Here is a 14,290-nt window from a genome sequence, read left to right on the forward strand (position 1 = left end):
CATTATCATTTCCATTTTACAGATGAAGAAACTGAGGCTCAAAACATTTCAGAAATGTTTTCAAGGTCACATAACCAGTAAATGGCATAACTGGAAGTTGGGTCCCAGAAGTCTGAGTCCATAGTTTGTGTCCTTAATCCTCATTGTACAGTTCTCTACCTACTGTACATGTTTATGTATCATTGAAGGTAAATGCTATTTATGTGTGTATGTTCATGCATATGTGTGTGCACAATGGATTTTTTTTTTTTTTTGAGAGAGAGAGTCTTGCTCTTTCACCCAGGCTGGAGTGCAGTGGGTGATCTTGGCTAACTGTAATCTCCGCCCCCCAGGTTCAAGTAATTCTCCTGCCTCAGCCTTCCGAGAAGCTGGGATTACAGGTGAGTACCACCACGACTGGCTAATTTTTTGTATTTTTAGTAGAGATGAGGTTTTACTATGTTGGCCAGCCTGGTCTCAAACTCCTGTCCTCAAGTGATACACCCATCTCGGCCTCCCAAAGAGTTGGGATTATAGGCATGAGCCACTGTGCCTAGCCAAAATTGGTTATTTTTAAATTGTAAATAGTGTCTTATTGAATAGTTGTTTCTCATACAACTATTCAATAAGATACTATTTACAATCAAGCTATTTTTTTCCTAACAAATTCAACCAGCAATGTGTCTTGGAGTTTTTTCCATATCGACAGATACAGACTTATATAGACAGATATAAACTTACTTCATTATTTTTAATGGCTGCTAGATACTTTATGGGATTCATGGCCTGCAAATATAACTGTGTTTTGGTTTTCTTTTTTGGGGTCATTCTCCTGTTGATGGACACATTTGTGTTTCTTTTCTCCTTTATTTTAAACTAAATTTTCCCTTTAAATTGTAAGTAAAAAAATGTACATTTCTTAGTACTTAGGACTTACATTTTGAGGAAGGAGATTGCCATGCACACATTAACCCTGCATCCTTGTGCATGGATTCCGCATTATTTCCTGCAGGCTGTGTACCTTGCTCTCATTTATATGCAAGTCAGATCCTGCACTAGAATGAACAACCTGAGGATACAGACCATGCCCCAGTTATTTCTGTGTCCCCTCCCCTAGTATTGTGCCTGGTATGTCGTAGGGGCTCAGTGAATGTTTGAATGAATCAGTGATTGAATGGTGTATTAGTTATTGCTGGTTAATAAATTTCCACAAGACTCAGTGGCTTAGAAGAATACACATTTATTATTTTACAGTTTCTGTGGCTCAGGGATTCAGGCAGAGCTCATCTGCGCAGGCTGCAGTTAAGGTGTTAGCTGGGGATTTGGTCATCTCAAGGCTCTACTGGGGAAGGATTTGCTTTCCAACTCATGTGGTCATTGGCTGGATTTAGTTCCTTGTGGTTGTTGGAGTGAGGACCTCAGTTCCTCTTGTTTATTGCCACATGGGTCCTTGTCAGAATGTGCAAGTAATAGAGTCTGCTAGCAAGACAGGAATCACATTCTTTTGTAACCCAATGTGGAAACAGCATCCCATCACGTTGGTTGTGTTTTGTTGATTAAAAACAAGTCACAGGTCCCTTGCACACTCAAGAGGAGGGAGTTATACTGGGACTTGAATACCAGGGAGCAGGGATCACTGGGTGCCCTCTTAGAATTCTGTCTACCACAAAAGAATAATTTAAATAATAACATCAAAAAATAATACAGTTGACCCTTAAAGAACATGGGCTTGAACTGTGAAGATTCAAATATGCAGATTTTCTTCTGCTTCTGCTCCCCTAAGACAGCAAGACCAATCCCTCCTCTTCCTCCTCCTCAGTCTACTCAAGGTGAAGATGACAAGGATGAAGACCTTTAAGATGATCCACTTCTAGTTAATGAAGAGTAAATATATCTTCTTTTTCTTATGATTTTCTTAGAAACATTTTCTTTTCCCTAGCTTACTATATTGTAAGAATATGGTGTATAACACATATAACATACAAAATATGTGTTAATTGATTATGTTATTGGGCTTCCAGTGGACAGTAGGCTATTAGTAGTTAAGTTTTAGGGGAGTCAAAAGTTATATGTGAATTTTCAACTGTGTTGGGGGTTGACATTCCTGACCCCTATGTTGTTCAAGAGCCAAATGTATTTGTATATTTCTTACAGATTACAAAACACTTTAATGTTCATCACTGTACTTTAATGCTCACAGCTACCCCAGAAAGTAATTACCATAAGAAAACCAGGGCAAGATTATTATTCCTATCTTCATGTTGAGGAAATTGGGACTCAGAGAGTTCAAGTAATTTGCCCAGGATCACACAGCTAGCAAGAGGAAGAGCCAGGATTTCAACCTAGAAATTACTCTGTGAGTATAAGCAGTAAGATAGGCTATTCAGTCCTGGGGTTTGCCTTGATATAATCTCAAATACAAGGGGATACATGACGAGAGGGTTACAAGGAGGCATCATGGTGTGGTGGAAGAAGATGGGGACTTTTTTTTTTTGATGGAATCTCGCTCTGTCACTCAGGCTGGAGTGCAGTGGTGCGATCTTGGCTCACTGCAACCTCCTTCTCCTGGGTTCAAGCAATTCTCCCTGCCTCAGCCTCCCGAGTAGCTGGGATTACAGGTGCTCACCATCATGCCCGGCTAATTTTTGTATTTTTTAGTAGAGACGGGGTTTCGCCACGTTGGCCAGGCTGGTCTTGAACTCCCGACCTCAGGTGATCCACCTGCCTAGGCCTACCCAAAGTATTGGGGTTACAGGCATGAACCACCACACCTGGCTAAAGGTAGGGACTTTGAAGGCAAGACTCAAGTTTGAATCCTGGCCAGGTGACTTCTGGCTGTGTGAATTTGGGCACTGTTTTCTATTATCCTCTCTGAGCTTACACTTGTCCTCTGCAAATGGAGTTGTTGTGAGGATTAAGTGCCATAATTAATGTATGTAAAGTGCCGCTCAGTGTGCTTGGCACATAGCCTGCACCCATTGGGTGTTGCTGCTGTTTTTATGGGAGCTGGTTGGGCAGTGGTATTGTTTATAAACATGTATGATGTGCTTTTGAAAGCTCCTTCAAAACTCAATGATTAATTGTTAATGGACTGAGCCCGGGGCTTCTCTTTTTGAGGTATCGTTTACGTGGAAATTCTGTTTGTTGCTTTTGCCCATATAAACCCACTTGATTAAGAATTGATGAAAGGAAGTCATAATTCAAGTAAATAAAGGATGCTCCATGAGGGTAAGTTCTGACAGCCTTGAAATTAGTGCATGAGTATGGTTGCCATGATTAATCGGGACTGAATAATTGGCCTCAGGGAGAACCTGCCAAGCGAGGCAATGGATATCAAGGGAACTTACCCATTGGGCATGAGATCAGGCACCCAGAAGGCACACACTGGGTGGTGAGATTTTAGCCAGATGGTCACCTCTTTGCTCTATGGGTTTTCGACCGACTGAGAAATTAACAGACACAGGAGTCAGGGATCAAAATATCAGGCCTGTTGCTGGCTAATGTGGGTGGAAGGACATGGCTTGGACCTGTGGACCTAATGATCCTCCTTAATTCTCCTCTCCTGTTCTAGAACTTGAGAACTTCTTAAGGGGCGAGATAAGAGAAAGGGGAAAAGAAGACCTGAAAAACAAACAACAACAACAACAAAACAAAACAAAAACCAAAAGCAATCAAACAAAAAACAAAAAACACCCCAAAAAACCGCAGGGAGGGAAAGAAAGGGAGAAAAGGGAAGAGGGAGGTGGTAACACTTTAACTTTCCCCCCAAACGGTAGACCAGTGAAGCTCAGATTCTTGCCAATCTGCCAATCAGATGCATTGCTCCACCTCCCAGGGGAGGAAGAAAAAGCTTTTTCACCTATCAATGGCACTAGGCAGTATTTTATGAGCCAGCCTGGCTTCTGGGTGAGGGAGACTCTGGTTTCGCCTTTCGTTAGGGAATGATCATCATAATAATACCAAATATTTATGGAGTTTTTACTTGTGCCAACTCCTTTAAAGGAATTATCTAGTTTAGTTATCGAGAGTCAAATGTATTTGTATATTTCTGGTTATCACAGCAACCCTTTGGGAGGGAGAATAAAATTAGCTGCAGTTTACAAATGAGCATGGTGGTACCATGTCACCTTTTCGACAATCCAAGGCCACACAGCTAGTAAATGTCATGCTGACATTCAAATTCAAGTCTATCTGCTCTCAAATTCTGTGTTTTTTATATACTAGTTTTCTCTAAAGGTGGTCCATGGACTTCCTGATCAAGAATCATCTGGGATGTGTTTTAAAAAATGCAGATTTCCAGCATGGCTGACTCTCACACCCAAATGCTGACAGGAGGTCTCAGGAGGGGCACAGCGATGTGTACTTTAAATAAGGACCCTGGCTGTGTGAATCAAACACACACCAAAGTTCGTGAGTGATTGCACTGGAAGGATAGGTGTCCAAATCAGCTTTTACTAATATATCTATGGGACAAGTAAACGGACATTTATTTGCAAACAGAATTTTTATTTACTGATTTTTGCTAATGTATTGAATCTGACAAGTTTTTTGGGAGCCAGGCAAGCCAGGCCTCAGGTAAGCTGGGTCTCAGGTATCTGAACTCCTGCAAAGATCTGGATGTCACCTCTGGTACAACTTTTCTCACAATTTTCAATCTAGAGACTTTGACTTTTTGCCCAGTGATGACTCCTACACCAAGAGAAGCCAAGACCAGGGGAAACTGCCTTCTGAAAAAGCTGATCCTCCTTTTTGCTTTTCAGGACATGGTCATTTACATAGATTAGCATGACCACTTACATACATTTGCATATATCTGCATAGATTTGCATGCATAGGGTATGTGCATGGCTTTCTCTTATCCATTTGGCTCCATTCTTGAGTAAGCTCTGTATATTGCAACTTCCCATCCTCTCATCCTCTGATTGGACCTTCTTGAACTTTGATTTCAAAGTTTTATTTTATTTTAAATTTTCCACATGGTGGGCAGTTGGCTTTGGGAACCTGACCTGGTTGCTCGGACAGGTGGAGTTTCCTTTACTGGCCGGTGGGAGGCAGTGAAGAGTAGTAGCTAACAGCACAGACTGCAGTTAGATCTGGTTTATGCACTTACTAGCTGTTTAACATTGAATAAGTCACTTAACGGCCCCAGGGCTTTGTTTCCTCAACTCTTAATGGGAATAATAGTACCTACCTAATAGTGTTGTTTGAGAATTAAGTGTCTATAAAGCAGTTAGCATACTGCCTGGCATGGCCCCGAAAATGGTACAATTAATATGGTAATTTTCTTGTGAGGATGATGTTGATGATGATGAAGATAATGATGCAGTACTCATCATAATGCCTTCTAAATTGTGACTCTCTTAATCCCAGAAGATAAGCACTCAGTGGAAGACAGAAAGGATTCAGTGATAGCGTGGTTTTAAAAAATATGTCCACAAATTCTTTGATATTCTCCCCTTCAAGAAATGTAACTTAAGGATGCTCTTTTTGAGTGTGAGTTGGACTTAGTGCTTAACTACTTCTCTTCCTCCTCCTCCTTCTTTCTTTTTAGAAATAGTCTGAAAAACATTTTATTTTTAAAATTTTTAAAAATGCATTTACTTGTCTATTTTTAAATTGATAGAGAACACTGTATGTTTTAATCATGTATGAAATGATGTTTTGAAGTACATCTACATTGTGAAATGGTTCAGTCCAGCTAATTAACAAATGCAATACTCACATAGCATTTTTACAGTAAGAGCACATAAAAACCACCCTTTACATTTTTCAAGAATACAATATGTCATCATTAACTATAGTCACCTTGCCTTATAATAGATCTCTTGAAATTTATTCCTTGGAGCCTGACTTCTAATGAATAACGTATGGCAGAGGTGATAGGGTTTCATTTCCAAGATTAGGTTATAAAAAGGCTCAGCTTCTGCCTTGGGTGCATACATTTCCTCTTTCCTGATTCACTCTCTTTATGAGCAGCCCTAATAGAGAGACCCACATGGTGAGGGATTGAAGCCTCCTGCCAACAGCCATGTAATTGAACTTGGAAGCAGATCCTCCAGCTCTTTTAGAAGCAGCTGCAACTCATGGCGATCTCATGAGAGAACTTCAACCAGAACCATGAACCTAAGCCTCTTCACGTTCCTGACCCTCTGAAACAATGAAATAATAAATGTTTGCTGATTAAAGTTTTAGGATAATTTTTGCTAAGGTTGGGGGCAATTGGTTATACAGCAATATATAACTAGAACAGTTGGGGAGAGGGTATTCCAATTGTGGATACCCAGTTCTGGGGACTGAGGTGTTATACCTCTTGGTCTGAAGGCAGAATGCTCAAGGTGGTGCCAGGAGAGGTCTGTGCAGAAGTGCATTGAGGAGTAACTGGAATAATGGTGAATGTTAACTTGTTGTTGACCGCCATCCACATAATTGATTCCTTTACTTGCATGACACACTCACATATACGTTTCTAGATTTCAGATAACTTAAACAATTCATGAATACATAAAACATGAGTAGGGGAGAAGCTATTTCTTTTCTTACTCATTGCTAGGTTCATGGCTGAGGCCCCTATAAGAAGAGCCAGATTAACAAGAGAAAAGCATGCAAGTTTATTTAATATAAGTTTTTCATTACATAGGAACCTTCAGAAATGAAGACCCAAAGAAACAGGGAAACCTATGTATTTTTATGCATAGGTTTGATGGAGTGGACAATGATGCAGAAGTATGATTGGGCAAAAGTGGTATGATCTAATGGTAATAAACTGGGGGGAACTTAGCAAGGCCTGTTTGTTCAGATTATTCACTGTATCCCTGTGTCATCAGAGATAAAGACATTCCTTTTTTTCTGGGTATTGGGAGGGCACTTCTGGAATGAGGGTCTTATGACCTGCTTCAAGGGAGTGTCAGAGAATTCTTTTCCGGCCTAATTCAGGGGAGAAGGGTGAGGGGAAAGTGAGAGTGACCTTCCTGCTTCTGCTGTTTTCTCAAATGCCAAGGTGTTATATCTTGGGGTAGCCTGTCTTGAACCTTATCACATGACTATAGTTTGCAACAGCTATTAAGGTACATTAGTACTATTAGTATTCAATAGAGGTTTAAGCATAGTTGAGCTAGGTGAGGGTTACATCCCAATTTTAGTTGGAAGCCCTCTCCATTATCTTCCATTCATAAAGCCTAGAGGATGTTATCCATTTATTTACAAATATTTGTTGCATACCTACTGTATTCGTCCATTTTCACACTGCTGATAAAAACATACCTGAGACTGGGCAATTTACAAAAGAAAGAGGTTTTATGGACTTAGAGTTGTACCTGGCTGAGGAGGCCTTACAATCATGGTGGAAGGTGAAAGGCACTGCGTCACATGTGGAGACAAGAGAAGAGAGCTTGTGCAGGGAAACTCCCCTTTTTTATACCATCAGATCTCATGAGGCTTAGTCACCATCATGAGAACAGCATGAAAAAGACCTGTCCCCCTGATTTAATTACCTCCCACTGGGTCCCTCCCACAGCATGTGGGAGTTCAAGATAAGATTTGGGTGGGGACACAGCCAAACCATATCATCCTGCTTCTGCTGCATTCTCAAATGCCAAGGTATTATATTTTGGGGTAGCATGTCTTGAACCTCATCACATGACTATAGTTTGCAACAGCTATGAAGGTACATTAGTACTATTAGTATTCTATAGAGGCTGAAGCACAGTTGAGCTATGCAAGGGTTACATCCCAATTTTAGTTGGACACCCACTCCCTTCTCTCCCATTTATAAAGCATAGATGATGTTATCCATTTATTTACAAATATTTGTTGCATACCTACTATGAGCTATTTACTCTGGTAGGCCCTGGGGAGTCTATGGTAAATAAGACAGTGTCTGTGATCACAGAGAATATAGTCTAGTGAAAAAAAACTGCAGGCAGCAGGTAATTAAACAAACAAAAATAATAGTGTTTTGAAAATTATGATAGATGCACTTATTAGAATGTTTTTTAGCTATAATGGCAGAAAATCTTGATTAAAACTTGCTTAGGAATAAACTATTTAATCACACAGATATAGCAGTTCACATGGAGGGTAGGCTCTAAGCAAGAAATGGTCAGCAACTTGGTGATGTCAAGAGGACCCAGATTCTTTCCATCTCTCTGCTTTGTCCTCCTGGAGCTGGCCTCATCCTGGTTCTCCTTGTAGATAAAAAATGGCTCTCAGAAGCAACTGAGGCTCCACCGCTTCAGCATTCACTTCTAGCTGGAGAGAGGCTAAAATCTCCCTACTTTGCCCAGGCTATGTCTCTTCCCTTCAATCTGATTGGCCAGTTTAGATCATGTGAGCTATCCTGAACCAATAACAGTTGCCAGGAGCATGCCTAATTCTGATGGGTTAAGACTAATTAGGACTCGCTAGAGCTAGGAACGGGTTACCATTGCCCTAAAACAGGTGGCAGATGTGAATGCCTAATAGCATCAGACTCAGGGAGGGAGGGATAAAAGGGAGGGTTTTGAATTCTGGGTAGGCAGCCAGATGTATCTTTTTATAATACGGGGAGAGTGGGGAGGTGTGGGAATATGTGGCTGGGAGTCTGGGAGGACTTCACTGGGGGAGTGATGTTGACATTGAGATCTGAAGGATGAAGAGATGGAGGCAGATGAAGGGACTAGTGTGTGTGTACCTGTGTGTGTGTTGTGTACATATTTTGAAGATTATGGCGTCACAAGATGGAATGGGCCAGGAACCTTGGGCATTACTACAGTGCCAATATTGAATCTATCCCAATTTATAAGAAGAAATATGCAATTCATAAAATTCTGCACCTAAACAGCACCAGTATTAATATATAATATTATACACAGCACCTTTTATCATTGATGGAATTTACAGCACCATTTCACCATGATCTCCTTGACTTTACTATTTTAGGGTACAAGGACCTGACTTCCAACTGTTAACGTTTATTTATATATATATTTTAAAGCTGGACCCATTTTATCACCATTGTGGCAGCCTGAAATGCTAGAGAATGAACAGCTGCTCCCAACATCCTCCACCCAGCTGAAGGAACACAGACGTGGGGCACATAAACATTCAGTCCATAACAGGTATGACTAGAACGTGTGGTTCATAGGGGCCACCATGGAATAGTCTATAGCCCTCTCATTTTGCAGTAGGGGAGGCAGAGGCCACGTGCTTCCCTAAGGCCAGATAATCTGGTTAGTTGGGTTCTGGGCCAAAGCCCTTCTCACACACCTGTCAGCTTCTGTATTTGGAGCCCTACTAGCTAATCCATGCACAGGAATTTGTTTTGTTTTTGCTTTTATTATTTTTGAGACAGGATCTCCCTCTGCCACCCAGACTGGAGTGCAGTGGCATGATCACAGCTCACTGCAGCCTCAAAATCCTGGGCTCAAGCGGTCCTTCCACCTCACCTTCCTGAGTAGCTAAGACTATAGGTTTGCACCACCACACCTAGCCAATCATTTTTGTTTTTTATTTTTGTAGAGACAGGGTTTCACTATGCTGCCCAGGCTAGTCTCGAACTCTTGGCTGCAAACAATCCTTCCACCTTAGCCTATGTCAGTAATTTCTTTTTTGTTTTTGAGACAGGGTCTCACTTTGTCACCCAGGCTGGAGTGCAGTGGCACAATCATAGCTTACTGCAGCCTCGACCTCCTTGGCTGAAGCGATCCTCCCACCTCAGCCTCTCGAGTAGCTGGGACTACAAGCATGCACTGCCACGCCTGGCAAATTTTTTGTAGAGACAGGGCTAATTTTGTAGTAGAGACAGGGCTTTGCCATGTTGCCCAGCCTGGTCTGGAACTCCTGTGCTCAAGCGATCCTCCCATCTTGGCCTCCCAAAGTGCTAGGATTACAGGCATGAGCCACTGTGCCCAACATGTGTGCAGTAATTTGAACTAATATTTACGCCCAAGCTCTCTGACAGTGTGAGTTATTTGTTGTCTGAGAAGGACAAAATCCTCTGTCTTTGGACTCTTGTGCTATTTTTTGGGTCTTAACAGTCAGAGCCAAACTTTTCTTTGGCTTTGATGTGGTTGAAGAATGATGACTTCTTTTCTTTGAATAGCTTTTTTCGTTGTGACACAGTGAGGTGCATTAATTGAGGAACATATAAACAAATAAAACGAAGAAATTTAAAATCACCCGCGGGGATCATGATGCTGCACATCTCAGATGCCCCTTTGAGAAAGGACCTTCTGTTGCATGTGCTGACTGTGTCCAGGCTCCAGCTGTTGGCCCTTCAGGGATTGCCTCATGTATTAGTCAGGGTTCTCCAGAGAAACAGAACAAGTGCACATGAACACATAGATATACAGAAGGAGATTTGTTAAGAGAAATTGGCTCATGTGATTATGGGGGCTGAGAAGTTCCATGATCTGCTGTCTGCAAGCTGGAGGCCCAGGAAAGGTGGTTGTGAAATTCATTTCAAGTCCAAAGGTCTGAGAACCAAGGGAGTCATGGTGTATGTCCCAGGTGAGCCAATGGTGTATGTCCCAGGCTGAGTTCCAGTGCCTGAGATCCAGAGATGCTGATGTCTGAGGGCAGGAGAAGATGAATGTTTCAGCTCAAGAAGAGAGAGTGAATTCACTCTTTTTTTGTTGTTGTTGTTCTAGTTGGACTCTCAATGGATTGGATGATGCCCACCATATTGGCAAGGGTGTTCCTTTTTACTCAGTCTACTGATTCAAAAGTGGATCTCTTCTGGATAGACATATCTCATAGACACATCCAGAGACAATGTTTTACCATATATCTGGGCATCCCTTAGCCCAGTCAAGTTGACACATAAAATTCATCATCACACCTTGGCTGCAGAGAGCTACCTCATTCAATGTCACACCCTTCAAGGGATGGCTCACATCCAGTGACTGAGGAATCAGGAAGCATCAAGGTCTGGGCACTTTGGGCCAACTTGGAACACTCTGAAGGATTGTTCTAGATCTAGAGCTTCCTGCATCAAACCTCAAGCTCTCCCTCTGCTCTGCCTCCTGTATCCTTCTTCCCATAAGCCCTCTTTAATCAACATGCCTCATGCTATCCTCCACCTCAGGGATTGCTTCTTGGGGAACCAACCTGTGACATTACCTGTCATCAATCTCATTCTCCACAGATAACTACTCTGAAGATTTTGGTCCGTATCATGGCCATGCTTTAAAGTGCTCTGCCTCTTTCTACATATAATACTTTTTTCGTTTTGTTTTTACAAAAATAAGATACACTGCACAAACTCTGTTCGAAACAGTGCTATGTGGGGGTTAAGAATGCAGACACTGAAGACAAATTGCCTGGGTTCAAATTTCAACTCTGCCACTAACTAGGCTTGTAATTTCAGACATGTTAGATGTCTCCATCTGAGCCTCTGCTTCCTCATCTCTAATATGGTGGGTAATAGCAGTACCTTCTTTCTAAGGTCGTTTTGAGGATTCAATGAGCAGTATTCAGAGTAAATCCTCAATAAACATTAGCTGCTAATGTTATTTCATAACTGGGTTTTCTCAAAGGCTATTGTAACATTCTCCCATGACATCAGATATTCTTCTCTATCATCAGTTTTAATGGCTTCATAATATTCTGTTGTGAGAGTGTACCATCTTTTATTTAACCAGTCTTCTTTCATGGGAAGGCATTCTTTTCTTTTCTTTTTTTTTTTGATGGAATCTTGCTCTGTCGCCAGGCTGGAGTGCGGTGGCGCGATCTCAGCTCACTGCAACCTCCGCCTCCTGGGTTCAGCAGTTCTCCTGCCTCAGCCTCCTGAGTAGCTGGGACTACAGGGAAGGCATTCTTGAAAGAGAAATCAGTCTGTGCAAAACCCATGAAGCAAGAGAGCCTGTTGACCTGAAAAAGATCCCGTGTTGGGGGCATTGGTGAGGAGAAAGCAGGATCAGGTCACCCTGAACCTTGTAACCTCTGAAGTTTGGGTTTTACCCTGGGGATGGTGGCCGCCAGTGAACAATGGCTTTCTAATAGTAGAGTTGCAGACACTGTGACATCTGGAAGAAAGAGGAATCTTCCCAGGAACATATTAGGGGTCCTGCTGAACCTGGTTGGTGAGGCTTTTATATTGGGAACAGGAGACAGGGCAGCAGTGTGATGTACTGTTTGCTCGTTTGCCTCTGGAGTGGCAGCTGTTGTCTCACCCCCTGATAGTAACCTCACATCCTGAGCGGTCAGGATGCTGCAAGCTCCCTTAGCCTGAATACACTCCTCAAATAGAATTCCCAGGGCAGGCAAACAAACCATCAGATCATCGTGGGCTGTTGTGGGCAGATTCAATTCACTTGTGGCGAGGGATTGTTTGCCAGGGCGAGGAACTCAAGTGCTGGGCCAGAGGGAAGGTGAGCTCATCGGGAGGAAGCCCTGCTTGCTTTCTCCACATATGAAAACCTAGAAACAAATAACACTCAGAAATTCCCTCTTGGATAAAAGAAAAGAAGCTCCTGGTGGAAGATGTTTAAACTATGATTTTTATGATCCTTTCATGCCCTCAAAAAGGCTAGGCTGTGGAAAGAGAAGAGTGTCACCAGGAGGTTGAGCAGACTGGGCACTGAAGAACCCATTCACATTACAGCTGATGAGCTCGGCAGCTCCTAGGGCTGTGCAGTGTGCAGCTGGAATGGCTACACACAGCTGCCCTTAGGTAGGTACCTGGGAGAGGAACAAACTCTTAGTCAATCACTTCCAGGGCTGGGAAGGAGGCAAACATTGACCTTCTGGTTCTTTTCAAGGGAAGAAAATAGAATTTCCCAAGTGTTTGCAAAGGAGGAAATACATTTATGCTTGGAAATCTCTTCCCTAACCTTTATTAACCTGGCCAGTTTTCTATAATAATGTATATTTTTATATTTGAATAGGTAATAATTCCACATGGTTCAAAATTCAAAAGGCATGAGAAGATTTTCAGTGACAAGCCTCCCTTTCATTCTATGCCTTAGATGCTGGATTGCTTTCCTCAGAAGCAGACAGTGGTCCCAGCTTTTTTTTTTATCCTAGGCCAAGTCTTAATTCTACTTCAATACTTTGAAAAGCTTTCTTGGCTGGGTGCAGTGGCTCATGCCTGTAATCTCAGCACTTTGGGAGGCTGAGGTGGGTGGATCACGAGCTCAGGAGTTCGAGGCCAGCCTGACCAACATGGTGAAACCTTGTCTCTCCTAAAAACACAAAAAATTAGCCGGGCGTGGTGGTGCACGCCTGTAATCTCAGCTACTCAGGAGGCTGAGGCAGGAGAATGGCTTGAACTGGGGAGGTGGAGGTTGCAGTGAGCTGAGATCACACAACTGCACTCCAGCCTGGGCAACAGAGTGAGACTCTGTTGCAAAAAAAAAAAAAAAAAAAAAAGAAAGAAAACCTTTCTCAACCCACTTCCTCCCTGCAGCCAACCAACATTCCAACGTCCTTGGTGGAATCTGTCATTCACTCATCAATCAATTATCCTCTCTCCCTTCTTCCCTTTCTCCTTCCTTCTCTCTTTCTTCTCTCCTCTCTCCTTCTTTTCTTTCTCCCTCCCTTTGTACTTTCTGGGTCCCAGGGGGCAAGGTTGAACTATTCATACCTCTTCTTACCTAGCAAATTACCAGCATGTATGCGGACAAATCTCCTTTTTGTTTTATTACTAATTAATTGCCTTTTATTTCATCCCTCTCCAGCTCCCAATAGACAGCATTTCTAATATGTCTGGTGTACATCCTTTTGTTTATATGAGTTCTTGTAAATGCGGAGGCATGCATTTTTGTAAAAATTTCAAGTAAGCATTAAATATCCACTCTGGGATAGGCTTTGCACTGGGGATTTAGGGAAGCACAAGACAGGCTAGTTCAGCTCTGAAGTCTCCAGAGTGGAGGTCATTTGGGAGTCTTCCCTTGCTCTGTGTTCCTACACAGATAACTCACTGCTCTTTTTGTTCCTCCAGCTCCTCTCTGCCTCTATATGTCTCTGTGTCTGCCTGTTGCTGTTTTCCTGTCTCTGTTTCTCTTTCTTACTTAATACTTACTCTTAGTCAGCCACTTTACATGGTTAATCTCATGAATCTGTACCCCAGCTCTGTAAATCAGTGAACCCAGGCTTGCTGGTTTGTCCAGAGGGGCTGCTGTTCTTCGCACTCCCCCAATAGACCCATTACCTCAGTGTATTAACAAAATGTCATTTTTTTTCCTGAAGATTTTATAGATGTGGAGAGGGTGGTTCACATTGCACAGCATTCAGCAGAAACCCAATCAGATTCTCCATGAAACATCTTTGGTTTAGCCCACCAAGTTTTCTTCCCCCTCTGTTGGGGAGCTCATCTTTTCCCATCTGTCTTCTC

At 42.3% G+C, this 14,290-nt stretch overlaps 2 long non-coding RNA genes across 2 annotated transcripts; both read left to right on the forward strand.

Annotated features, from left to right (window-relative positions):
- Positions 1 to 332: 332 nt before the first annotated feature.
- LOC105371117 (uncharacterized) lies at positions 333 to 9,042 on the forward strand. The gene is made up of 4 exons (XR_950895.2): positions 333 to 380; positions 1,799 to 1,863; positions 2,134 to 2,335; positions 8,951 to 9,042. It is a non-coding gene; the product is annotated as an uncharacterized LOC105371117 (long non-coding RNA).
- LOC124903660 (uncharacterized) lies at positions 5,345 to 6,164 on the forward strand. Its single transcript, XR_007065018.1, has 2 exons — positions 5,345 to 5,472; positions 5,956 to 6,164. It is a non-coding gene; the product is annotated as an uncharacterized LOC124903660 (long non-coding RNA).
- Positions 9,043 to 14,290: the final 5,248 nt, after the last annotated feature.

Source organism: Homo sapiens, chromosome 16 (genome assembly GCF_000001405.40).
Source record: "Homo sapiens chromosome 16, GRCh38.p14 Primary Assembly".
In the NCBI taxonomy this organism is placed as follows: domain Eukaryota; kingdom Metazoa; phylum Chordata; class Mammalia; order Primates; family Hominidae; genus Homo; species Homo sapiens.